The sequence below is a fragment of the Homo sapiens genome, chromosome 13 (assembly GCF_000001405.40).
Source record: "Homo sapiens chromosome 13, GRCh38.p14 Primary Assembly".
Lineage (NCBI taxonomy): Eukaryota > Metazoa > Chordata > Mammalia > Primates > Hominidae > Homo > Homo sapiens.
This window is the reverse complement of record NC_000013.11, coordinates 37,620,946-37,647,831: the sequence shown is the minus strand read 5'-3', so window position 1 is coordinate 37,647,831 and position 26,886 is coordinate 37,620,946. Positions and strand designations below refer to the sequence as shown.

Sequence of the window (26,886 nt, the reverse complement as noted above, 5' to 3'; positions counted from 1 at the left end):
TTGGTTAATCCTCCTGATAGTTTATTATGTGGACATACAAAGACAATGAGATACACAAACAACTATTAATTAAAAGGTGACATTTAAGGAACAGTGACACTCACTTTGTGAAACTAGCACATGGCTTAGAATATACCATTATACCCCAAAGGGATCTTAGATATCATTTAGCTCAACCATTTCTTTTAAAAGATAACCTGTTTACTTTGCCCATTGTCTCATGCTCTCTTAGAGACAGAGCAGGGGGAAATTGCTGGGTCTTCCATTGTTTCCCAGTTCAAACTGCTTTCCATCACCCTCTCTTATTTCCCTGAGAAGTCTGGTGAACATGCAGCAACACCTTCCCTGTTGTGTCTTTTGATTGTTCTCAGCAGCCTTTGCAGATCCTATCATTGTTTTCAGCTGCCTCTTAGACTCCTGTGTCCCGAATCCCTTGTTTACCAGGCTGGTTTACCTTCTGCCCTTATCCTCAACTTGCTTATCTTTATGCTGCATTTTTGAAGCAGAAAATTCAAGCTACACTGGAAGTGACTTCATTCTTTGAAGTATTTTTCTGTAACCTTCCCATTTGTAGTTCACTTACTGACACTCGTCACCCAGCCTTTGAGTAAATGTCACCCTGCTGCTCATTCCATTCACGTTCCCAGGAAATGCCTGGGAAACCAGTACTCTTCAGGGTTGCTACATTGGCCACTCTCTAGGAGCCCATTATTGATGATCTTATCGTGCTATTTATGGCTTCCCAGTAATACTGATACAACTAGCTCTGAAAACTCATTAATTCGTATTTCTTTGTAACTCTGGACTTCATTTAATGGTTGATTGGGAGTTCCAGGTAAATTAATCTTTCACTTGACTGCTTTATGGGAGAAAGCATAAATGAAGCAGAAATGCTGTATTATTGAGCACAACATTTGTGATAGAAAGCAAACCCATTATTGAGAGATGCTTCCTCTCTGGGCTATTATAAAAATCCCACGAAAAAGGCAGCCTATCCAAATAAGAAACATACTCTTAACTTGTGTTTTTGACATTGCTTCCTGTCAAATGTTTTGTTTAACCTCATTTTATCAGCAAATACCCTTCTTATCATTACAGCATTTGTTCTCAAATATTTTAGCATACAAGAATTGTCAGGAGTCTCCATTTTAACAAGCATTTCCAGTTTACAACTTTAACTAGACATTTCTATTCAAGACAGCATTGGTATCTACCACAATTTTTTTGAAGTTTTTTAATCTTTAATTCGTGTGAGTACATAGTAGATCTGAGCTTTTTAAGCTAAAACGAAGCCAGGCTTCATGCTGTTGCTCAAAAGGTCCCGATCCATTTAATTCAAGTACGAAGATGCTATTATAATACAATACTTCCCCAAAGCATTTCATTAATGTGAGACATATTTAATGTCACAGACTAGGTTTCTAAATGAAATGTTTACATTTATATGTTACCATACCGAACCAAAAAAAAATACTAGTTCTTTTGATAAAATCATAAAAAATGTTTTTAACTTCCTTAGTTTTATGTTTTCCGCTTTTTGGTTTTCTCTCAAGCACATGGTGAGAAGAACAGGAGGCAGGATGGTCTCTGGAAGATCACTCTGAGCATCACACAGCTCTGAGATACAGGTGGAATATTCAAGCCTGACTAGCTGCCCCAGAAATATGCCCAGTTAAGTCACTACAAATGAAATTAGAAACTGTGAATAGATTAGCAACAGCTATCATCACTAAAGAAAAAATGCTCATAGTACATGCCTCTCAGACTTCATTTATAGTGGCGATTTGTCAAAATGTATCGCTCCCTAATCTTTAGGACGCTTAGTAGGCCTAATGACAAATCTTACAGATATGACAGTTTTCATCCGTGAGTGTCTCCGGATTCCTAAATTACTGCTGCAAGATTTGTTGGCAGGGCCTTTTGATGAAACTTTATTTCCCCAGCGGGGATATATAGAAATTAATTGCTTGATATTCTTGGTATTTCAAGAGTGAGTTCCTGAATATTTGGTTTGACAATACAACATTCAGGCATTTCACGTGAATTATTTTGATATGCTTAGAAAATGTGTTCATGAAAAGCAGTAAGCAGATGTATGCTATAAGGGTGCAGAAAGACTGTTTATAGAGAACAATATGTAGATCCATCTGCAAAGAAGCCAAACTGCAATTTTTTTGTAAAGGGATCACATCCCGGAATGCCCTCTTGCCTTTTTAGTTTTCGTGAAAGGAGAAGAACACAGCAAGCTGCATGGCTTAAGGAATTCAAGGAGCAAAGCAAAGACTAAAAGGCATAATTCATGGGCTTAAAATTCACTGCTAGACCAAAACCAGAGTGGAAATGAGAGAAAACGGCATTGAAAATTGACAGCAGGGACTAGCTACATGAAATGAGCGTGACATTCCACATAGTGGACCTGGAGAGAACCGGAGATAAGAGTGACAAAATGTCACAGCTCACTCTCCAGAGACCTCTCTTTTCTAGCTGCAAAATCTTCCCTGCTCTAAAGAAACCTGAAACTTCTATTGAAATTCCGGAGTTTCCTTGCAGCAGCAGCAGTTTCTCACTAGATGGTCTTTCTCTTTAACATGAGTTCTCTGATCCAAACGCTGCCATTGTCCTGCCCTAACAAATTAGGAGGAACCTGCAAACTGTGAATTATGCTAATGTGGCAACAGGTATGCCCTCATCTTCTCCTTGAAAGCTACTTTGCCAAGGAATATTCCACACACAGTCTAGTGACTTCTGATGTAGTTTGCGAAGAAAAGTGCCAACCTAAGGAGAACTTCTTCCAAAATATTTTTCCTAGACACTCAGTTAAGGAAGAAAAGCCCTTGATTTGTCACAAAATCCATTTTTTCTGTCTTAAACACAACTCACAACCAATCTAGTTTAACAAAAAAAAAAGCTGCAAAATGCAAGTTCCAGAAATTTCTTTCTTTTTTTTTTTTTTTTTTTTGAGATGGAGTCTCGCTCTGTTGCCCAGGCTGGAGTGCAGTGGCGCGATCTGCACTCACCACAGGCTCCACCTCCCGGGTTCACGCCATTCTCCCACCTTAGCCTCCTGAGTAGCTGGGACTACAGGCGCTTGCCACCACACCTGGCAAATTTTTTTGTGTATTTTTAGTAGAGACGGAGTTTCACCGTGTTAGCCAGGATGGTCTTGAGCTCCTGACCTCGTGATCCACCCTCTTCGGCCTCCCAGAGTGCTGGAATTACAGGCGTGAACCACCGCGCCCGGCCACAAGTTCCAGAAATTTCTATGTGATATTGTACACTTGAGCTCATTCACTGAGAAATCCTTTATTCCTAACACAGGTCTACCATGCTATAATTCTACCTAAGTTATTATTTTTAGTAAAATTAAAAAACACAGTTAATGCAGATTACTCTGTCAAAGTTTAACATGCAAATGGCTTGAAAGAAAATTAAATACCCATTTTCTTAGGTATTAAAGCTAAATACCCACTTAGGTATTTTTAAATGAAATGGCTTTCATTATATTACTTTGAATCACAAATTGTTCATTTCTCCTGTTCTCGGTCATTTCCAGTGATAATTATAAGAAAAAGATATCTTCTCTTAAGGTAACAAATCCCTTTGAAGTTCAGCTGATCTTTACTCAACAAAAAAGGATATGAATGTCCTAAATATAACTGATGGTAGTTCTATTGTGTAATATTCAATGGTGTCACTAATTGCCAAAAATTATTGTGATGTTTATTGCAAAGAGTACATATATTATGAGTTGAATTGTATGCCCCTTCAAAAAAGATAGGTTGAAGTCCTAATCCCCTATACATAGATTGTGACCTTATTTGGAAATAGGATCATTGCAGACATACTTAGTTAAGGCGAGATTATACTAGAATAGGGTCCTTGTAAGAACATGGCCATGTGAAGACCGAGACCCAAGAAAAACACCATATGAGATTGCAGATGGGCACCTGCAAGCCAAAGAACTCCAAGAATTAACAGCCACCACCAGAAGCTAGGAAGTCTCATTCCCACTTGGTGCTACTGCTAAATGACTATCAATGAAATTACACTTTCATCACATGTCACTCAACTAGTCAAAATCCCCAGGTGCCTAGTAACCACTGGATTCATGTGCCATCTGAAATTCTACATTAAGAGTCCACGCTAATTTCCCACTACAATCTAATCTGTATATTCCCAGTAGCAAAGACTTTGCAACTATCCTGCCAGAAGTCTCCATAATGTGCCTCTCACTTTCTAACCCTAGCATATTTGCTCATCCTACTCCAATCATCTAGAACACCTGTGCACCTCCCCTTGTCCTAATCCTGTGATTCCTTCATGACCCATCTAATACTGCATTCTCTATAAGAGGGCTGTTACGGCTTCTTTCCTTCACACAGTATTACCTCCTTCTCCCCTGTACTCAAATATCACACTTACAGCACTTCCCGTGTTTTCTTTTGTATTTGCCTTCATGTGTAGTCTTTCATGATCTTGGCAATCCACCTTTTGGACTATCAGCCATTTAAGGGCAAAAGTGTGCTTTATTCATCTCTGGTTTCTTGCACTCCACTGCCATACACATGTAGTCATTTAATAAATATACCTTAAATTAGCCCTACAAGTTAAGAGAGTTCTAATTCCAAAATGGAGCCTTGAGACAAGCTGGCTTTACTCCCTGCCATGGAAAACCAAACCCAAATATACAGTGCCAGGATTATCACCAGAAATATCCCAGGACTCAGATAGGAGGCAAAGCCCATCTAGGGGTCACAGAGAAATGAAAAACTCCTAGCACATGGTAAAAGAATCGTATTTCTGGCCAGGCACTGTGGCTCACACCTGTAATCTCAGCACTTTGGGAGATTGAGGCAGGCAGATCTCAAGGTCAGGAGTTCGAGATCAGCCTGACCAACATGGTGAAACCCCCGTCTCTATTAAAAATACAAAAGTTAGCCAGGCGTGGTGCCATGCACCTGTAATCCTAGCTACTCAGGAGGCTGAGGCAGGGGAATGGCTTGAATCTGGGAGACAGAGGTTGCAGTGTGCCGAGATCATTGCACTCCACACTGGTGACAGAGTGAGATTCTATCTCAAAAAAAAAAAAAAAAAAGAAAAAGAAAGAATCATATTTCCATATCCAGGATGCCCTTCTCTTCAATCTGCCTGGCACCAAGAGTGTAAATAATTTCTCCCAACTCAAGGTTCCTACACTGAAAAAACTGAGATCTGAGGTAGACAACCAGCTTTCCCAATATCTTGCATTCCCTAGAAGTAGGCTTCTCCTTGCCTCAACCCATGAAAATCATCCTGAGTCCCTGAAGAGAAATATCCCTGAGCTCAGCCAGAGACAAAGGCAAAGATGGAACTCCCATCCCCAGGCCTGGAGACTCTGCTCTGTAACTCGACCAAATGAGATGCCAAATCAGAGTGGCTTCTCAGTAGCGACATGTTGTAGGAGGTACATTCCACAGCTCCACTAGGCTGGAACCCCTAGCCAGCCTTCTCTTTTGCTATGACCTCTGAATTTTCCTCAGAGTTTCTATATCAACGCTCACATATGGCTGTCTCATTAGGGTCATAGCAAAAATTCAATGTCATGCCGAAAAGTTCATAAAACTTTTGGGCTCCTCCAAAGATGACTGCCTACAGAGTCTGGGTCACATCTATCCAAATTTACCAGAAGTATTCTCTTACTCTATCACTTACATGCAAGTTTCCTACCTCTAAACCTCTCTACTGCCAAAGCTGAAGGCATCTAACGATTTAGCTGAAGGAAATGCTCCACAAGCATGAATTACCATCAAAATCATGCAAAGGGACACAGTTAAATGTAAGTATATTATTTTACTTTCTCAGAGGTAATCATAATATGTGTCCTACTATGCACAAGCTTTGAGAATCAGATTTTTAAAAGGCTATTAAGTCACATTATCAATCAAAAAGGAAAAAAATGCAAAGAGGACAAGAACTAACATTAGTTAGCAACAGATGCCATAAATCTCTTAGCTCATTTAATCTTCAGAATTACCCATGGAGTTTATCTTCACCCTGCAAAATAAAAAATCAGGGAAGAGGTAGGGTGTCAGAGTTAAACTCCCTGACTAGGCACAGTCAGCTTCAAACCCAGGTGTAACCCCTGGGACCATATTCTTAATATCACACCACACTTTCTCCTAGAAAGTAGGAACTGGAAGGGCATAATGGTGATCACTAAACAGCCTATTCTGTCATGCTAATCAGGGAAACAGAGATTAAACAGATGAGAGCTCTATCAGCCGCATAATTTAGCATTAATTATTTGGTGAGCGCACTGCATTCATTTTGAGTTTTAGGTTCAGAAGACAGTTAACCTCATCCATTCTTTTTTTCTAGCTAGAATGTTGAAGTTCATTGCCTGATAAAATTTTGTGAAACTAAAAAATAGTTTTGTGGTATTACCACATAATTGTGGAATATAATTGGTTGGCAAAAACAATGAATCGCATTAACTTAGTCTTAAACCTGGACTATATAAACTGAATAACGCCTGAAAGGTACCATAGTGAACATTTTTAGTGTTCCTCTCTCTTTTTGACAATCCATTTTGATTTTTTAAGTTTTTTCCCAAGAAAATTAACCTAGAATTACCATTTAAAATGTAGTCTTTGACCTTTTTATATTTGTATTAAAATTTTTTGACGTTGGATGAGTAAGATTCTACTGAAGGAAAGACAGTTTGTACTCATTTTAATACTAAAATGTATCATGATAATTTTCACTTATTACTCATAATTTTCTGATTCTGTCATCCTCAATTGTAGTTTGATGTTAAAGAAATTTAAAGTTAAATCCTGACTTCTAATTGCTCTCTGTTGAAAATTTCCTCATTGGATTTTAGAAGGATAGGATTCTAAAACACAGTAGTGAAATGTTATAGAATCCCAAAACAATAAAAATTAAGTAGACTAAATTCTTTCTATATTAAATTAAGAGTTTCTAGCTACTTAAATAATGAAAATCAGATCTCTGTTATAATATTTATGGTGAGAATGTTAAAGAAATTGATGTACGACTCACTTTAGTATTTTAGTTTAAGTAAATTTAAGGAGATCTAGAAGACTGTGTGTTTCCTTTTAGAAGTGCAGTTTGTCTTAGGTTTCAGCTGAGCTATGTCTCAATATGAGTCAGACACCTCCATCTGGTGGCCCAGCCGTAAAATTCCCATGCCATACTTTTTCAAGCTGCTCTCTACATTTGTGTTGTTTCAAATTTCTGAGTTTTTAAATTAATAACTTAATCCTATTTTAAATGTTTTTCTCAAAATGTATTTCTCATGCAAAAGTGAATGATAGTCAAAATAATTAGTGACCTTTAGGAACCTAAGCATTGTCTCATCTGTTTCTACAAGTCACTACTAATCATGAAAGACAGATGCATCCTTATGGCCAGTGAAAATAGCATTTTCTTCTATTTCTCTGAAGAGAAGAAAAGAGTTTCTTTTAAATTGTTTAATATTTAAATTATCATTTCACAGTGATGTAGGCACAGCTCTTTTCAATATTCTGTTTTATCAGCCTATGATTATTTATTAAGGAACAAGAGCAAAAGCCTCATTTTAAAACCAAGGTATATCATCCCTTTTGCTTTCTCACAATTTACCAAATTAATTCTTTTATTATAGAGATATTTTTATTTTATATTATTTTGCCCAATATTCTTCCTGAAGAATCAGTGCTGATGTTTATTCAACATACATAAAATTGGGATTATGTAGGGTTTTTTTCTAATATCTTTAGAATACTTGAGAATCTGCAAATATATAACTTTAATGTCATTTATTATTTCACTCAACTCATAATGGGATTTTTTCAATCATTAAACAATCCATCTCTCTATTCTACAATCCCAAATCACTGCCCTGTGCTTACCCCACCTCTGCTCTCAAACCATTCTGATGCCTTCAAAATATGAGCTGGGACTCACATTTAATTTTTTAAATGAGTTAATAAATGCTGTGTTTCAACAGAATCCTTTATTTATTTATTCCGTTAAATCCAGCCATCTATTTAAACAGGAATCTCCTCTTACTGTATATATGATTGATATTATATATATATATATATGATTGGAGAGTTCAGTGACTAATGAGGCTTCTGATTACCTGGTACATAACATAACTAACTTCTTAATCTTGCCATGTTAATATTTATGAAAACTTTTAAATTTTTATTTGATATGTCCTATCTCTTTCTCTTAGCATCATTCCGTCAATGTTGAGTGCATATTAACTGTAATTAACTAATTTTCCTTCATCCTGTGTCCTGTATGAGAACAACAGTTCTGTCATTGTTAACTTATTCTGTGTTTCAAATGTCATATAGATTATACACTCTTGTTCACTCATTCTTTTGATTCATGTGCAGCACTCTTTAGCCATTGTCCATTGACTAGTAAAACTCCCACTTTGAAGAAATAAGAATAAAAACATTATCGATTAAAAAAATAAATTATTTTTTAGAATAGTAATATAACAGTATAACCAGAAAGGAATGTCCTTTTCCTTTTCAGAGGCGAGCTGCTGATAACTTGAGAAGACATCACCAATACCAAGTAAGTTGTCCTTGTACTATGTCTTGAAATTTTCACTAAAATAAAATGCAGTCCCCCCTTCAGAACTGACTCAGGAGGAAATTTATTTACTCATTGAGTATCAATACTCTTGTTCTAAAATGCCTCAGGAAGTTATGAGGAACCTGGTGAAGCGATACGTTGCTGCAATGATTAGAGATGCTAAAACTGAAGAAGGCCTGACCGAAGAGAACTTTAAGGTAACCATTTTCATCTTCATCACAAGAGGCAGATTGTGCAGAATATGGATCCAGATAGAGCACATTTAAAATCAGAGCTGGAAATGCAGCTGTGTGTTCCAGCAAGCCTGTGTGGCTTCTGATTTTTCAGCTGAAACCCTACAGAACTGTAAAAAGAAAAGAAAAGCAAGTGGTGAAATTTCTTCTCAAAATAAATTGTTTTCAAACATACAGAGAAAAGCCTAGTGCTTAATGGCATTCTGACTTACCTGATCCCAGAGTGAGCTTCTGTTTCTGAAATTTCAGCCTGATTTTTAAATCCGAAACATTTACTAACTAACACACTGACAACAAAAACTTTGTGTGTTCTGAAAAACTTTGATAGCAGTGAATTTAAGGTTTGCATTTAATTGTAACTAATACACTTATAAACTTTCTCCTTGATAGTTTTTAAATTGTGTAAGAGGAAATAAGTAAAATGTGTGAAATATTATATGCTTGAATCACATGTTTAAAATAATTTAGTTTAAAATTATTGAGTGATTGTTTAGAGATTTTGGAAGAATGATTAAGGTCAATAAGATCTTACAGGCCAAAACAAACAAACAAATTTAAAAAAATCTATAGGAGATATTTAACATAGAAAATAGCAGGTTTGAACATGAGAATGAAGTAGTGAATTAGGTAAGAAGATAGAGAAATTACAAAACTTAAAGTGCAGGTGGAAAACTAGCTAGAAGCCCAGATTTTCTTCACAGCCATAAAGTTCAAATTGTAATATTAAATGATTCATGTTGCTTTAGGAGATAGGTTGGGGCAGGAAGCCACCAAGAAGGTTGCCATCAGGGTAAGAGTGAGAATTCAGTTGTCCCAAAAGACAAGGGAAAAGGATGAGTCTAAGAAATGCTGTTAGATCCGAAGAAATTCCCAGGATGTAGAGGCTGACCCAGATGTAGGGGGAAGGTCCTCTTTAAGACAGTAAACAACTGCAAGTAACTACCAACTCTTAAATTAGTCTCCACTTAATTTTCAGACATCCCTTTGGACAGAAAAATGGGCCAATATTAAAAATCTTATAAAATACACCCCAGAGACAGTGAGGTAACTTGGCAGCAGATGAATAATTTGGAGAGAAACTGTAGTCCCAGGGAAACCCAATATACTCAGCTGCACGTTGGTGGCAAAGATAACTCACGTTTCTTTTTGCATCAGCCTTAGGAAGTGTCCTTCCCAATTCCAATAAGGAAATTAGTCGACATCAAAATGACATCAAGTATCCGTGAGAGAACTGGGAATTCTAAATAGAACCACAGTAGAGTAGAATCCTTGTTTTTAAAAAGGAGTGAAAACATTTCTGACCCATATATGAGACGAGAAAATGATGTTTCCAAATGTTTAAGTCATAACCGAATTTTTCATTTTAAATTCTACGTAGGAACTAAAGCAAGACATTTCTAGTTTCCGCTTTGAAGTCCTGGGATTACTAAGAGGAAGCAAACTTTCCACAATACAATCTGCGAATGCCTCGAAGGAGTCTTCAAATTCGGCAGACTCAGATGAAAAGAGTGATAGCGAAGGTAATAGCAAGGACAAGAAAAAGAATTTCAGCCTTTTTGATTTAACCACCCTGATTCATCCGAGATCAGCAGCAATTGCCTCTGAAAGACATAACATAAGCAATGGCTCTGCCCTGGTGGTTCAGGAGCCGCCCAGGGAGAAGCAGAGAAAAGTGAATTTTGTGACCGATATCAAAAACTTTGGGTTATTTCATAGACGATCAAAACAAAATGCTGCTGAGCAAAATGCAAACCAAATCTTCTCTGTTTCAGAAGAAGTTGCTCGTCAACAGGCTGCAGGACCACTTGAGAGAAATATTCAACTGGAATCTCGAGGATTAGCTTCACGGGGTGACCTGAGCATTCCCGGTCTCAGTGAACAATGTGTGTTAGTAGACCATAGAGAAAGGAATACGGACACACTGGGGTTACAGGTAGGAAAGAGAGTGTGTCCATTCAAGTCAGAGAAGGTGGTGGTGGAGGACACGGTTCCTATAATACCAAAGGAGAAACATGCAAAAGAAGAGGACTCTAGTATAGACTATGATCTAAACCTCCCAGACACAGTCACCCACGAAGATTACGTGACCACAAGATTGTGATACTTGAAGGAGGAAGCGTTTACCATACACATACGTATTTTCCGTAGTGCTCTGGGTGGGGGAAAATGTTTAAATTGTATTAGCAAATGCTAACTTACACTTTATAGCGTTTATCAGCTGTGGCATATTACCTGTAACATGTTTAAATAAGGCAAAGGCAATCAAAAACCTTTTTGTTTTGTAGCCTGCTTTTGCTTTCACAATTTGTCTTACAATTGTTTTTGTTAATAAATAAATGCACCTTGTATTCTTGTACTGTTGCAATAACCCACAGAAACATTTTAGCTATCTTTTTCAATTAAAACAAATGCAATTTATTTCATGTGGTAGTTGACTCCTAAAATAGATATTTTTATATTCAAAAACCAATGTGGCTGAAATATTATAGCTTTTCATAATTTTTTAGGGTCTTTAGAGAGGGTTACTCACCAAGGACTTTTCACCTAGTCCTACAGTTTGGCTTTAAAACACAAATATTACCAAATTATTTCTTAACGACATGTAAATAATTATTGTACACAAAGCAAACAAGTCTTCTTCTCATGGAGTCATATCTAAACTCCCTCAAATTCAGAAAAACTTTGTAGTGTTTTAGGTTGTTCCAGGGTTTCCTTTCAGTAAGTAAAAGAAGTGTTTGTCTTAATACATTTTGATGACTGATGATTTTTAACGACATTTTGTCAGGAAAAAAACTCGCCCCTCCAGTTTTTTTAATTACCTATTTCAGATTCAACTGCTTATCAGTATAAATATGAGTCTTTATGAATAACTGAATTTCAAAAATATGGCAAGATTTCTGTTATAAAAAAATAATAAACCATAATATTGTAAGTATCTTAAACAAGCAAGATGATTACATACTAATAATATCCAAATGAAAATGAATTTATTCTAACAATCTAAATCTAAGTAAAGTTGAATTCCAGTATTTTCAATCAACGCAATATTGTAATCAATTCAAAAGAAGTACAAAAAAACTAGCAGTCTCCTCTTTTCACCAGTAATCTTTATATATTTCTTTAAAATTAAATCACTCAAAAATCATTATTAATTTTATCAGCAGATATAGATATATAGTTTTGCCTATAGGAAAAACATTCTTATTTCTTGTTTTTCTTTCTATTGTTTGCAAGGTAATTTAGCTTATAACAATTCACTGAACTATTACAAGGAAAGTGTTCGCAACTTACATAAAATTGATACTAGAAACTTAAAGCTTAAATTTTACATTGCTTGTGTCTATTTAAGCCACTACGGGAAGTTTCTTCACCACATAAAATTAGCATTTATTTCAAATCAATAGAAAAATGCTAAGTTCATTTTATTTCAAAAATTACTCTGCGAACCTCAGAAATTGCATGTGATTTATCATTGGCCCCAAACTGAATAATGTTATGGCACTCAGTTTCTCATTACCAAACATCAAAAATAAGGAATAACAGCAATAACAATGCCAGCCTCTGTTCTATTCCTATACACCTGTTAACATTTATGTACTGCTCTTTACAGCCCTCTGAAGTAGCTCCTGTTTTTATCCCCATTTCACATATGATGAAACTGAGACCAGCACTAACTGGCTAAGGTAATACAGCTCATGATGGAGCTGTGATGTGTCCATCAGAGCCATTCCCTTCACCACTGCATTGTAACTGCCTTTCAGAACATAAAAAGAGCAAGTTATAAAACATGCATATACAGGGGTTACAATTGCCACTTCTGAAGTCCTATACCTTGAGAGAGAATGAGTTTGGTATGCTTCATAAGAGTCCCTTCTTCTAAAGCAAGAGAAGTGTGCAAAATATAAAATGTGCTGTATTTGATTCTTTAGACTAAATTACATTAAAGTTAGTAGATTTTAAAAACATATTTATTATGTGATCTCAGAACTCAATTTGAAATACTAGATTTTAATTTTCAGAAAAGCCAGGAGCACTAAGCCCCTGTTCACTCCTAAACCTGGTTTTTGGGAATTTAGGAATGGGCCAGATAGATTTGGAGAAACACAAGCCTAAATGAATGCATTTACTGTTTCAAGAACACCTTTATCTCAAGTATATTAGGACTCAGAGCAAATCCTGGGGCTACTGAAATACTCATTTTTTTCTAAATCATACCTACAGTAGTAGAGAAATTGTAGGCCTATTGTTAATATTTGGGATATTTTCTATTAATTTCTTTTTGCCTCTCTTGTGCGTTGTTGTTTTATTTTGTTTTTTCCCAAAGTAAGGACACTATACATAACCATTTTACATACTTTACCAGAATTTAATTTCAAATTCTCTCTGTTCCGTCAAGCAACACCAATAACAGTACAAGCAACAAAACCTTTTTTCCCCCAGTAGCTTATTTATATCAGGGGTTAAGGTGCTGACATTTTATAGGGGGACATGATGGTAATAGAGGAATGTATTTGGAGCAAGTAAGACCCTCCTTTTCAGTGCCCTAGAAAGGATGATTCTAACAACCCCCAGATGTTGCTGACAGATGTGTTTATGAGTATGAACAAAGTGCTGGATATTATTAGTACCCGATGTTACTAATATCACTAGAATTGAATGCTATTCTAAATACGTAGTGACATTATGTAGCATTAATGAAGATGAGGAGTAGGGATAAAATAAGAAAAGTCAAACAACAGCAGGATAGCAAGCAAAGAAATACTGTTTCTTTGAGGTTTGTAAGTGCGTACTTCAGGGTGTTCGTTTCTATTCATATTTCTATCCACAGAAATTTCTAAATGCTACAGAGAACTTTGAAATTACCTTCATTTACATAAATAATGTTTCTCATTTTTCGTACTCTCTTAATCTTAAAAAATCTGTTTTTCTTAAATTTTGTGTCTGAGTTAGGTGAAGGAGTGTGTTGAAAATTCAGTTTAATAGACTAGCAGGTAAGTTTAAAACACTTTGTTTATCACAATTGTATTTTGGAAGTCCCATTTATAAGAAAGTATGCTATAAAGATGTACCTCATTATTCGTAATAAAGGTTTTCCTTAAAATTTCTGTGCAAATAAATCTATATTAACTTCAGTAAGGAAATTGGCTATATTTTTTAAAATGGGGTGAATTATTTTATAAAATCATGAGTAATTTTTCAAAGTGCTAAACATCCTCAAAATGTATCTGTTTCATGAATTGAATATTTGTATATCAAATTTTCTTAAATTAGTTACTCTATTTACTGGATGGCAATTAAACTAATGCAAAAACATACTCACTTTCTTGCCTTGACGTAGACAGCAACTTGAAATACTTTAGTGATGAAACAAATTGATGAAAAGTCAAGGATAGTAGACTCACCATGCTGTTCTCAAAGAAGCAAAGTCAATTTTCTAGCAAAGGTGGAGGAAACATAAGTAACAATAGCATAAGAATATATTCTTCTAACATTCAATAATCCTTAATAACTCTGGGATTTAGCTGAGTAAATGACTATCCAGTCTCACAGCTCTTTATTGAAGAGAGGCCACCAAGTTTTGAAATCTGTCCATTCTTAGTCCTCATGCATTGTATTTTTAGCTGTCTTCTATGGTGTATACAGCTGCCTTCCATGCTCAGTGTCCTTAAAACTCAACCTAGTAAGAACCATCCATTGTGGCCCTGTAAATATGCTTACAATATATTTTTCTTTCTCTGTATTATCTGAAATTCTGACTTAAAACTAACCATAGAATTTAGAAATTTAATATTACTGGCATTCCTCTTAACTTCAAAACCATTATTCTGATTTTACAATGTCTGAAAAGACATTTTATTTATACAGTGTTATCACATGCCTTTTTTAATTTGAATTTTAGAATCATGTTAAATAAGTTCACTGTAGATAACTGGGGAAAGTAAAGCCCAGGGAATTTATGGAAATTATCTAAATTTACCCATGTGTTTGGTGGTCAAGTTGGGGCTTAAACAAAAACCTCCTCATCTAGATATTTGGATGAGGCATCACATTATAAATGCCTTGACCACTGACTTTTTATTTGGGGAACATTTTGTCTTCTTTGCCCTTGTAGAAAATATAGTTGTCCAAACATTCAAGTTAAAATTCAGAATTAATACCATATTATCTTTTGTTTTTCTACAAAGTTGTGTTAAGAGAATTTTTAAAAAGCTGGTTTCTTACTGTTTTCAGAAAATACACTGTTCATTTTCACTGGAAGTGTAGATTTTATGATAACCTGTATGCATACTGGTAATAATAAAATGTATTAAATTATATCAAAGCTTCTCAACTGAAAAACATTAGAGATGGACAATGTACAGTTGAACTAAGATTGGGACAATGGGACCAAGCCTGGATACAGTCACACCGTTACTAGGCTGACAGTGAAGACGTCTCTGCAAGTCAAATTCACCAGTAGCAAAACCGTTAATTTCCTCTAGAGCTGCACTGTTCAGTAACGTAGCTCCTATACTCATACGGCTATTAATCACTTGTAAGTGTGACAAGTCTGAATTAAGATGTGCTGTAAGTGTGAAACACACACCAGATTTCTAGGACAGTATGAAAATAATGTAAACTAGCTCATAAATATTTTATGTTGGCTACATATTGAACTGATAGTATTTATGAAGTATTGATTTAAAATATACTAAGTAAATGAGTTTGATGTTTCTTTTTCCTTTTACAATGTGGCTACTAGAAAACTGAAAAATACGTATGTGGCTTGCATTTGTGCCTTGCAATACATTTCTATTGGACAGTGCTGCTCAGGAACATTTGTATTTGTTTCAGTCAGCTCATGTATCTCCATCATCTGAATTGCAAAGGTAGAAAATTCTATCTTTAATTACTCAAAAAAGTTTTGTGTAGCTCTATTAAAGTTTGCAGTCTCTCCTTGATTCCTAATCTCCTAATGGACTCACTGGTAATAATTTGCTGTTTTTCCCTGTTTTTCCTTTGCCTTTGCAAATGTATTAATATATAAATATACATGCAGCTATATAGGTTATGGTTTTGTTATCATTTTTATCAAGAATTTCATCACACTATACCTATAACTTAGCAAATGTTTTTATCTAACAGTGTATCACGGAAACCTTTTCTAAAATAATTAAATATAGTGGAGCCATTTGAATCTATTTAAATAAATTCCTTGACTAGTTATTTTACCTAGTGAAATATTATCGCATGCTATTTTTAAAACCATGATAGAAGAGCTACTTATTGGAGAAAACACAAGGTTTTGTTTGTTTCTTTGTTTGTCTTTTGAGACAGAGTCTCTCTCTGTTGCCCAGGCTGGAGTCTAGTGGCACAATCTCAGCTCACTGCAACCTCTGTCTCCTGGGTTCAAGCAATTCTCCTGCCTTAGCCTCCTGAGTAGCTGGGATTACAGGAGCTTGCCACACATCTGGCTAATTTTTGTATTTTTAGTAGAGAGGGGATTTCACCATGTTAGCCAGGCTGGTCTTGAACTCCTGACCTCGTGATCTGCCCGCCTCAGCCTCCCAAAGTGCTGGGATTACAGGTCTGAGCCACCGCACCCAGCCCACAAGGTTTTTAAGTGATGAGAAATGCCTGATAGACAACAAGGTGTGTCTGAAAGGCAAATAAGCTCATTTGTCTCTTTCGTTTACAATCTTGCAGGGCTGGGTTTCTGGTACCAGCATCGCTTCTCAGCTTCATTCTCTCACACACTATACTTCAGCCATTCTAAACTTCTTTCAGCTCCTTGCGAGTTAGTATTGTTCTTTTCTCTAACATTTGCAAACATTGTTTTTCCATGCTTGAGTAAGAATTGTACCAAAATTTTATTACTTTAAATAATTTTAATAAAGGATTTTAATTAATTCTAATCGACTTATTTTATGATTTCCTTTAGATCTAATCAAATTTTTTTACCAAATTTCTTTTTTTTTTTTTTTTTTTTTTTTTTTTAAGAAAACCTTTTCCTGAGGCTGCACATAAAGAGCCACGTTACCTCTCTGGAAACGAAGTGTGATCCACATTGACATGCTTTCAGGGCACCAATGTACTTTGAGAGGTTTAATCACACCCAGCAGACAACTCACTGTGCTGTCTTGGCATTCAGAATGCAAAATGCCCTGTACTTTGGGGGAAGGCAGGAAACTGATATTTTTTTTCATAGCTGCTGTGGAGTGACTGCAAGTCAGGCCCTTCATCTCTTTAGACCTCAGTTGCTGATATTTGAAATTTCTGGATGAAAATGTCTTATGTATCTCAAAAACATGAAACTATACTAAGTCATCTTTCTAAAGTTAGAAGTACCAAATATGAAATTAGAAAAAAAGGTTTTTTAGATTATCATAGATTCATATTCAATTGTAAGAAATAACGCAAGCATATCTCATGTACCATCTACCCATTTTCCCCCAATGGAAACATCTTTCAAACTGTAATGCAAATATTGCAGGATTTTGACATGTGTTTCATTATCCACTGATCTTATGCTGATTTCCAAAGATTTACATGTACTTACTTGTGTGTGTGTGTGTGCGTGTGTGTATTTGTGTTTAGTTCTATACAGTTTTACCACACATACAGGTCTGTGTATCCACAACCATAGACAAAATACAGAAAATTTCCGTCACCACAAGAATCCTGGAATTGTTCTTTTACAGGAATACCTCAGAAATATTGTAGGTTCAGTTCCAGACCACTGCAATAAAGCAAATATCACAATAAAGCAAGTTTCACAAACTTTTTCATTTCCCAGTGCATATAAAAGTTACATTTATACTATACTGTAGTCCATTAAGTATGTGATAGCACTGTTTCTAAAAAGCAATGTACATATCAAAAGCAATGTACATATCTTAACTAAAAAGGATTTGTTGCTAAAAATTTCAAACAATAACCTGAACCTTCAGTGAGCTGTGATCGTTTTGCTGGTGAAGGGCCTTGTCTCTATGTTGATGGCTGCTGATTTATCAGAGTGGTTGTGGCTGACTTTTGGGGTTGCTGTGGCAATTTTTTCACATAATACAACATTGAAGTTCGGTGCATTCATTGACTCTTCCTTTCACAAAAAAGTTTTCTTTGTAGCATCTGATGCTGTTTGATAGCATTTTACTCATAGAACTTCTTTCACAATTGGAGTCAGTCATTTCAAAAACCTACGCAGCTTCAGCAACTAAGTTTAAATAATCATCTAAATCCTTTGTAGTTATTTTAACAATCCTCACAGCATCTTCACCAGGAGTAGATTCTGTCTAAAAAAAAAAAAAAGTCACATCTTTCCTCATCCGTCAGAAGTAATTCCTCATCTGTATTAGTTTTATCATGAGATTACAGCAATTCAATTATATCTTCAGGCTCCACTTCCAATTCTAATTCTTTTGCTATTTCTACCCCATCTTCAGTGACTTCCTCCACTAAAATATTAAAACTTTCAAAGTCATCCATGAAAGCTGGAATCAGCTGTGTCCAAAAACTGGTTCATGTTGATACTTTGACCTCTCCTCATGAATCACAAGTGTTATTAATGATATCTACAATGGTAAATTCTTTCCAGAAATATTTCAACATACTTCACCCAGATCCATCAGAGGAATCACTATCTATGGCAGCTACAGCCTAACAAAATGTATTTTTTAAATAGTATGACTAGAAAGTCAAAAATTGTCCTTGATCCATGGGCTGTAGAATGGATGTAGTGTTAGCCCACATAGAAACATCTCTTCGTATCTCTCCATCAGAGTTCTTAGGTGACCAGGCCCACTGTAAATGAACAGTAGTATTTTAAAAAATGAAAGAAAACTCTTGTTCTGAGCAGCAGTTCTCAACAGTGGGCTTAAAATATTCAGTAAACCGTGCAGTAAACAGATGTGCTGTCATCTTAGCTTTGTTGTACCATCAATTGAGCATAGGCAGAGTAGATTTAGCATAGCTCTTAAGGGCCCTAGGATTTTCGGAATGGTAAATGAGCACTGGCTTCAGTCAATAGCTGCATTATACCCTAACAAGAGAATCAGCCTATTCTTTGAAGCTTTGAAGCCAACCATTGACTTCTCCGCTCTAGCTAGAAAGTCCTAGACAGTATCTTCTTCCAGTAGACGAGTAGAAGGCTGTTTTGTCTTCTGGACACTTCACTGCATCTTCTACATTAGCACTTGCTGCTTTACTGTCCACTTTTATGTTATGAAGATTGCTTATTTTCTAAACCTTGTGAAACAATCTCTGCCAGCTCCAAACTTTTATTTTCCAGCTTCCTCACCTATCTCAGTCATCATAGAATTGAAGAGAGTTAGGGTTTTCCTCTGGATTAGACTTTGGCTTAAGGGTACATTGTGGCTGGTTTGATCTTCTATCCAGACCACTCAAACTTTCTTCATATTAGCAATAAGGCTGTTCTGCTTTAACATTTGTGTGTTCACTGGAGTCAAACTTTTAATTTCCTTCAAGAACTTTGTCTTTACATTCACAATTTGGCTGTTTGGCGTGAGAGGCCTAGCTTTCACCCTATCTTGATTTTAACAAGTTTTCCTCACTAAACTTCATTATATCTATAGCTTTTCATTTCAAGTGAGAGATATGCAGCTCTTTCTTTCACTTGCACACTTAGAAGACCTTGCAAGTTTATTAATTGGCCTATTTTCAATATAGTTGTGTCCAGGGCATAGGGAGGCCAAAGGAAAGGAAGAGAGATGGGTAATATTCAGTCGGTGGAACTGTCAGAACAGAAAACATTTATGAATTCAGTTGACCATCTTAAATGGGCACAGTTTGTGTTGCCCCCAAACAATGACAATAGTAATGTCAAGGATCACAGGTCACTGTAACAGATATAATAATAATGAAAAAGTTTACAATATTGTGGAATTACCAAAATGTGACACAAAGGCACAAAGTGAACACATACTGTTAAAAAGATGGCATCCATAGACTCGCAGGTTCCATTTGTAAAACAATGCAATATCTGTGAAGCACAATGGAGAAAAGTGCAGTAAAACAAGGTATACCTGTATAATACTTCCATTTCCTCTCCTCCACCCCCACACCCATCCCTAACCCCTGACAACCACTAATTTGTTATCCATTTTTTATCATTTTGTCATTTCAAGTCAAAACATTATCAGTGTTATATAAATGGAATTATGTAGCATATAACCTTTGAAGGTTAGGGCTTTTCACTCAGCATAATTCTCTGAAAATTTATTCAAGTTGTTTGTTTATGTCTATCAAATTTTGATTCTTTTTTATTGCTCAGTTAAATTCCCTGGTGTGGATATAACAACATTTGTTTAGCACTTCACCCATGGAAGGATAGCTAGGCTGTTCCCAGTGTTTGGCTAATACAAATAAAAATGCTATGAACATTTATGTACAGGTTCTGGTGTGAACATAATTTTTATTTGTCTGGGATAGACGCCCGGAACTACAATTGCTAGGTAGTATGGCAGTTGCATACTTAGTTTTATAAACGACATGTCAGTGTACTGTACCTTTTACACACTCGCCAACAATATATGAGTGATTCTGTTTCTCTTTTTTTGCTAGCATTTTATGTGGGTAACAATTTGTATTTTACTTGTTCTGATTTCTATGTAACAATATCTCATTGTGATATTAATTTGGATTTTCCTAATGGATAATGATTTTAAACACCATTTATTGTGTTTACTCCCCATCTGTATGCCATCATGGTGACATGTCTGCTCATGTCATTTGTACATTTTCTAATTAGACTGTTTGTATGTTTGTTTTTATTGTTGACTTTTTGAGTGTCCTTTTTATATTCGAGATACCAGTCATCTGTCGGATGTGTTTTGCAAATATTTTCTCCCAGTCTGTAACTTGTCTTTTCATCTTCTTGACAGAGTTTTCAACAAAGCATGATTTTAAGATTTTAAGTCCAATTTTTCCATCTTACTTTGTATGAAAATTTGAAGAGCACTTTGCCTAGATCATGAGGATTTCATTCTATGTGTTTTTTTCTAAAGGTTGTATTCTTTTGTGTTTTATATATAATCATACTGTCTTTCCCATTTTTTCAAGTACATTAAGTAGCATACCATATTAGTTCATTTTGCATTGCTATAAAGGAATACCTTAGGCTGGGTAATTTATAAAGAAAAGAGGTTTGGCTCAGGGTTCTGCAGGCTGCGCAAGCATGGTGCTGGCATCTGACCAGCTTCTGTTGAACAAGAAGCTTTTATTCTTGGCAGAAGGCAAAGAGGTATCAGGTGTGTCCCATAGTGAGAGAGAGCACAAGAGAGAATTGCTATACTCTTTTAAACAACCAACTGTCACGTGAACTCATTACAATGGGGAGGGCACCAAGCCACTCATGAGGGAACTGTCCCAATGACCCAAACACCTCTCACTAAGCCCCAGCTCCATCATTGGGATCACAATTAAACATAAGATTTGGAGGAGACAAATAAGTAAACCATATCACATACATACAGATTTACAGAAGAAAAGTAAACTTCAGGAATAGAATCACACATGTAACGTAGAGGAAATGATGAGGGGAATGCTGACTGGCAAACATGCAGTTATTAATAGCAGTGAAATGGGGAGACAACACGAAAGAAAAATTATTTTTATGAGATAAAAACTAACCCAGTTACCCTGAAGTTGTAGCCAGACTTTTCTGAAGTTTGAAAAAAAATAAAACTCAAGTAATTTTTCAATTCTATTACATTTCTCACAACTTCTTGAACCAGATGGAGAAGCAATAAAGATGAGAAAAATTGCTCTGATGAGACTGGAAACCAGAAATAAACAAATAAATTAAAAAAGTTCAAATGCAAGCCACTTCATGAAATTCAATGGCTGTTTGAAAAAGCATGAGATTGCAGAAATATGGCATGACACCCTGTGTTTTAAAGAATATTCACTAAATTTGAAGCTTGTTAGTAGCTACCATTGAAACCACCAATCATGTATTCCGCTTTAGCTTTGACAGTGAATAATGACAACAAAAGAAAATAACCTGGGTAAAAAAAATTAATGTAATTCATTAGTATAAACTAAATCATATTAGAATAATGAAATTATAATTTTATGAGACTGTGTATAAACCATTAAACATTACAATTTAGTGTCCAGCAAAAATATAGCCATTTAATGATAAAGAGTGTGGCATGAAATTCCCATGTTAATTAAAATCATTTGTGAGGCTTGCATTAGAAGGATAATTATTTTTAATAAATAACCATAAAAATATAGACTAGAGTTTTGGCTAAGTCATTATGATATATAATACCATAATATTTTTATTCTCTGATGAAAATACAGCAAGCAATTAAATTGCTTAATCAATGGAAACAATTGGAATTCTTCTCTTATAAAATTTGAAGTTGCCACTTTTTACAAAACTCAAAGTTGGAAATTGTAATTTAATGTATGAGATAATCTGGATCTCTAATTTGGCTTTCACTTTCTATTATTTTCCATTTTTCCCCCAAATCAGAGTTTTGACTCTGTGTCAAAAAATGGAAGTAAAAAGATGAAGAATGCTTTCTATAGGAACTCACAATGTCAAGTCAGGAAAAATCTCACTTATGTTTTACATTGTAAGATCAGAAACATAGTGTTAGTCTCTGTATAGATGGTGCTTAACAGTCAGGGTTTGCAGACCACTTTTTTTTTTCTCCATCATTCATTAATGTGAAAAGAGATTACTTTTTTAAATTAGGTATGTATTTTCATTTTCTTTCAGACAGAAATATAGTAAGAAATACAGAAAAGGCACCATTTTTCATCTGACACATAGAATAAATTTATTAAATTGATGATATATTGATTATTTAGCGCCTTCATATTTTTACTCACCCACATGGTAAATTGCTGTTTGAAATAATTATTACCTCCTTTATTAACATTGATTAAGCATACACTTTGTGACACACATTGTAATACTTGCTGAGGATAAAATAATAAAACAAAAAGTTATTGAACTAAAAGTTCAATCCTATGGAAATAACAATTAAGTGTGATAACTATGGTGTCCCCGGGGAGAATCTAGGAGGGGAATCTAACCCAGTATTAGGAACAGAGAATAAGGGATGTCTGTGTTATTTCCTAAAGATAAGTAATAGTCATTCGGTAGTTGATCTTTATCCTGGGAATAATTGGGTGTCATTAAATAATTTATTACAGGAGTTTGTCATGACAAAATTCTATTTAACTACAGACAGAATGAGATGAGGAAATAATCCTCACATTTGCATGTCAAAATGAAAGAGAAGTGAGTTCTTTTAATTCTGAAAAGGAGCTTTTTGGGGATTTCACTCAATGGTGTGGAATAACCTGATTTCCAGTCTGTAGATGATAAATGGGGAATAAATTTTTCTAAAGCAAAACAAGTGACTACAATTCTAACAAGTTTTATATGTTATGTTTAAAAACTAAGTATGTTTTATACTCAATTGTAGTGAATTTTCTGGCCATTCTTAAGCATCTAAAGATTAAACATCATTTTAAACAGCTTCATTGAGATATAATCCACATACTATACAATTTCCCTACTTAAAGTGTATAATTCAATGGTTTTAGTATATTCATAGATATATGTAATCATCACCACAGTCCATTTTACATTTTCATTGCCTCAAAAAGAAACCCTGTACTTTTCATCTATCACCACCCTGTGCTCCCACTCCCACCCACCTCCATCCCCAAGAAAACACTAACTTTTCTGTCTCTATAGATTTCCTGTTCTGAATTTTTATATGAATAGAATCATATATGTGGTATTTTGTGACTGGCTTCTTTCAGAACATAATGTTTTCAAGTTTCATTCATGTCGTAACCTGTATTAGTATTTCCTTTCTCTTTATGTCCAAGTAATATTCCATTTATGGATTTATTACCCATTTCAGCACAGCATAATGTATACACAAACTTCCCAGGGGTTCTTTTTTTTCTTTTTTTTTTTTGGGTGAGACAGACTCTCGCTGTTTCGTCCAGGCGGGAGTGAAGTGGTGCGATCTCAACTCACTGTAAACTCTGCCCCTGGGTTCAAGCGATTCTCCTGCCTCAGCCTCCTGAGTAGCTGGGATTACAGGCACCCACCACCATGCCTGGATAATTTTTGTATTTTTAGTAGAGATGTGGTTTCGCCATGTTGGCCAGGCTGGTCTCGAACTCCTGACCTCAGATGAGAAGAAACTTTTAAACTGTTTTGGATTTTCTGTATATATATGCTCTAGGTTGTTATACATTAAGTAACCAATATAAGATACCTCACTTATAAATATCTACTGATAATTTCACTGATTAATGAGCAATGAGGCATAGGAAGTAGATTTAAATACGTGTTGCTATTTTTCTTATTCATAATTTTAATCTACTTAGTCATGGATTTTTTTTTACTGACATGGAACTATGCCCCCAAATTTCACCAGCTTTTAAAATCAATGCACTTCATCACTCTTATATGTGACAGTAGAAAGAACAAATGTAGCCACTTTGGAGGATTCGTGTTCAAATTACTTCCTTAAACTAGACCATAGCCAGACTAATTGGTTACATTAGTTGAAAGCGTGAGAGGAAAAGGCAAAGATGGGCTGGCCTGTGTGGAAAAACTAGGTTCATGATATTTGAAGATTAAGATTTCACTATGGATGAGAAAAAAAAAATTGAGTAGGAAGATGGTAATGAGCACAACTCTACATCCACAACCATTAGGGGAAAAAGGATAAGAATTGAGCTCCTGACAAGGCCTTACTCATTTTTTTTTTTCTTTTTTGAGATGGACTCTCCCTCTGTCACCAGGCTGAAGTACAGTGGTGTGATCTCAGCTCACTGTAACCTCCGCCTCCCGGGTTCAAGCAATTCTCCCGCCTCAGCCTCCTGAGTAGCTGGGACTACAGGCACGCACCACCATGCCCAGCTAATTTTTGTATTTTTAGTAGAGAGGGGATTTCACTATGTTGACCAGGATGGTCTCAATCTCCTGACCTTGTGATCCACCAGCCTTGGCCTCCCAAAGTGCTGGGGCCACAGGTGTGACCCACTGCACCCGGCCTCATTTGCTGTTTCTTGTCCCTATCAACAGCAATTTAAAGATAAATAAATGTTTTTGAAGAAGTCAGGCTAATCATGGATACAAATATTCCAAATACGTATAATCTCACTAAATTGGGAAGGAACTTGGCTGTAATCATGTTTAATGAGTGAAACTAGCCAAAGGCATCCCTAAGCCCAAATATTTTGGCCAGAATTTTTTGCTTTGACTATTGGACTTGGAAGCAAAAACTTCAATTTCTATCTTTATCCTAATGTCTCTACTGGCTCATTTATATAATGGGAAAATAGCTACTTACTATTCTGGACCAAGAAGCTCAGTTATCATTATGATTTAAAACATGAAGAAATAAAATTATTGTGTTAAGTATAAAGAATTATGTGTGCATGATTTTTTTTCATTATATTAGGATAACACTAAGGAATGCCAAAGATTTTAGGATTAAGTCATATATGAGTTTCTTCTCATACAACTGGGATCACATAAAATGGCAAGTCACCTTAAAGAAGCTGGAGGAGCCACAGGCTCAATCTGGCCTAATGTGTCAATGTAGCTAAACAATGAAAGTCTGTCAGGATGGAGGGATAACCACAATTGGTAAAAATGCCATTAGAAAAAGGGAAAGGAATGTTAGAGAAGCCGATGGCATTGTCCACTCAAATACTTCCTTGGAAGCATTCTTAGCCAATAGACTTAAATCATTCAGGTCCTATGGTTGTAGCTGACGCAGTTGTGGAAATAAATGAAGATATATTAGCTGGATGCCACTGATACCATGACTAAAAACTAATTTTCTGATTCTAAGTACCGATTATAGCCTTACTCATGGAACAAATGCACTGGTGATGTTGAACATGTAGTCTGGTTTGTGTGCTAGCAATAACTAGGGAAATAAGAAGTGGTCATCCTGACTGCAGAAAACAGCCTCCTGCATTTAACAAACTTGAGTCTGTAAGAGATGAGGCCATACTACAGATGCTGACAAAGTTAGATTTCAGAGCCTGCAGGCAAAGAGCCAGACCCTGAATTAAGGGTCATTCATCAAGGGAGGCCAGCTTGTGAGACCTCCTGGCATGCAACCAGCTGGTATTTCTCAACCAGTACACATGTGTGCATCCCTAGGCAAGTTTGCTAGTCTAAGAGCCACAGATATTAGTATTATTGCCAAATCTCATTGTACACATTATATTGCAGACCTACCAAAGTTTATTATCTCAGTCCATTTTATGCTACTTATAGTAGAATACCTGAAACTGTGTAATTTATAAGTAAAATGAATTTATTTCTTACAATTATGGAAGCTGAGAAGTCCAAGGTCAAGGGGTTGCATCTGGCGAGAGCCTTTTTGCTGGTGGGGATTCTGAGACAGCGCAAGGTATCACATGGTGAGAGGGCTGTGTGTGCTAGCTCAGGTTGCTCTCCCCCTTCTTATGTAGCCACCAGTTTCATTCCCATGATAACCCATTAACCTATTGATTCATAAATGGATTAACCCATTCATGAGGGCAAAGTCCTCATGATCCAATCACCTCTTAAGGGCCCCATCCCTAAATACTGCCACACGTGGGATTAAGTTTCAACATGAGTCTTTGGAGAGGACTGTCAGTTCAAGTAGTTACTAAACACACACAAAATTAAGAGGATCACAAATAATATCAAGTAAGCTTATATACAATTCTGAAGTTTACATGTGCCAATTAAACTTATGTATATCCTAGTGCTTGATTTGAAAGACCAACTCAAGCTGATGGTTAGCTAAGAAAAATGGAGAAGTCAAGTAGAATACTCAGGTCTGTAGCCTGGGTGGATGTGTAGTTCAAGGAATAAACAATGTGAAAGGAAATAACCAAACAATCTAGGTAACTGTAGCCAGTGAGATAGTAGAAAATATTGAAATGCAAGAAAGAAAACTCTCTCAAGAGAAAGTAGCTTACATTGACAGAGCTTCAAGAGGTCAAATAATATAAAGATAGAATTTCTTGGGGAACAGCAGAAATAAAGAAGAACAACATAGATTAG

The 26,886-nt window shown here is 35.8% G+C and overlaps 1 protein-coding gene across 11 annotated transcripts in view; it reads left to right on the top strand.

Annotated features, from left to right (window-relative positions):
* TRPC4 (transient receptor potential cation channel subfamily C member 4) overlaps positions 1 to 15,769 on the top strand; it is a 237,710-nt gene extending 221,941 nt beyond the window's left edge. For 8 of the 11 annotated variants that reach the window (NM_001135958.3, NM_001354806.2, NM_001372055.1 and 5 more), the window contains 3 exons: positions 8,533 to 8,574; positions 8,703 to 8,792; positions 10,207 to 15,769. In NM_001135958.3, coding sequence (NP_001129430.1) covers positions 8,533 to 8,574; positions 8,703 to 8,792; positions 10,207 to 10,929 — 855 coding nt within the window. In that variant the 3' untranslated portion in view covers positions 10,930 to 15,769. The remainder of the gene's footprint in view (positions 1 to 8,532; positions 8,575 to 8,702; positions 8,793 to 10,206) is intronic. The other 3 variants (NM_001135956.3, NM_001135955.3, NM_001135957.3) reach the window with 2 other exon arrangements.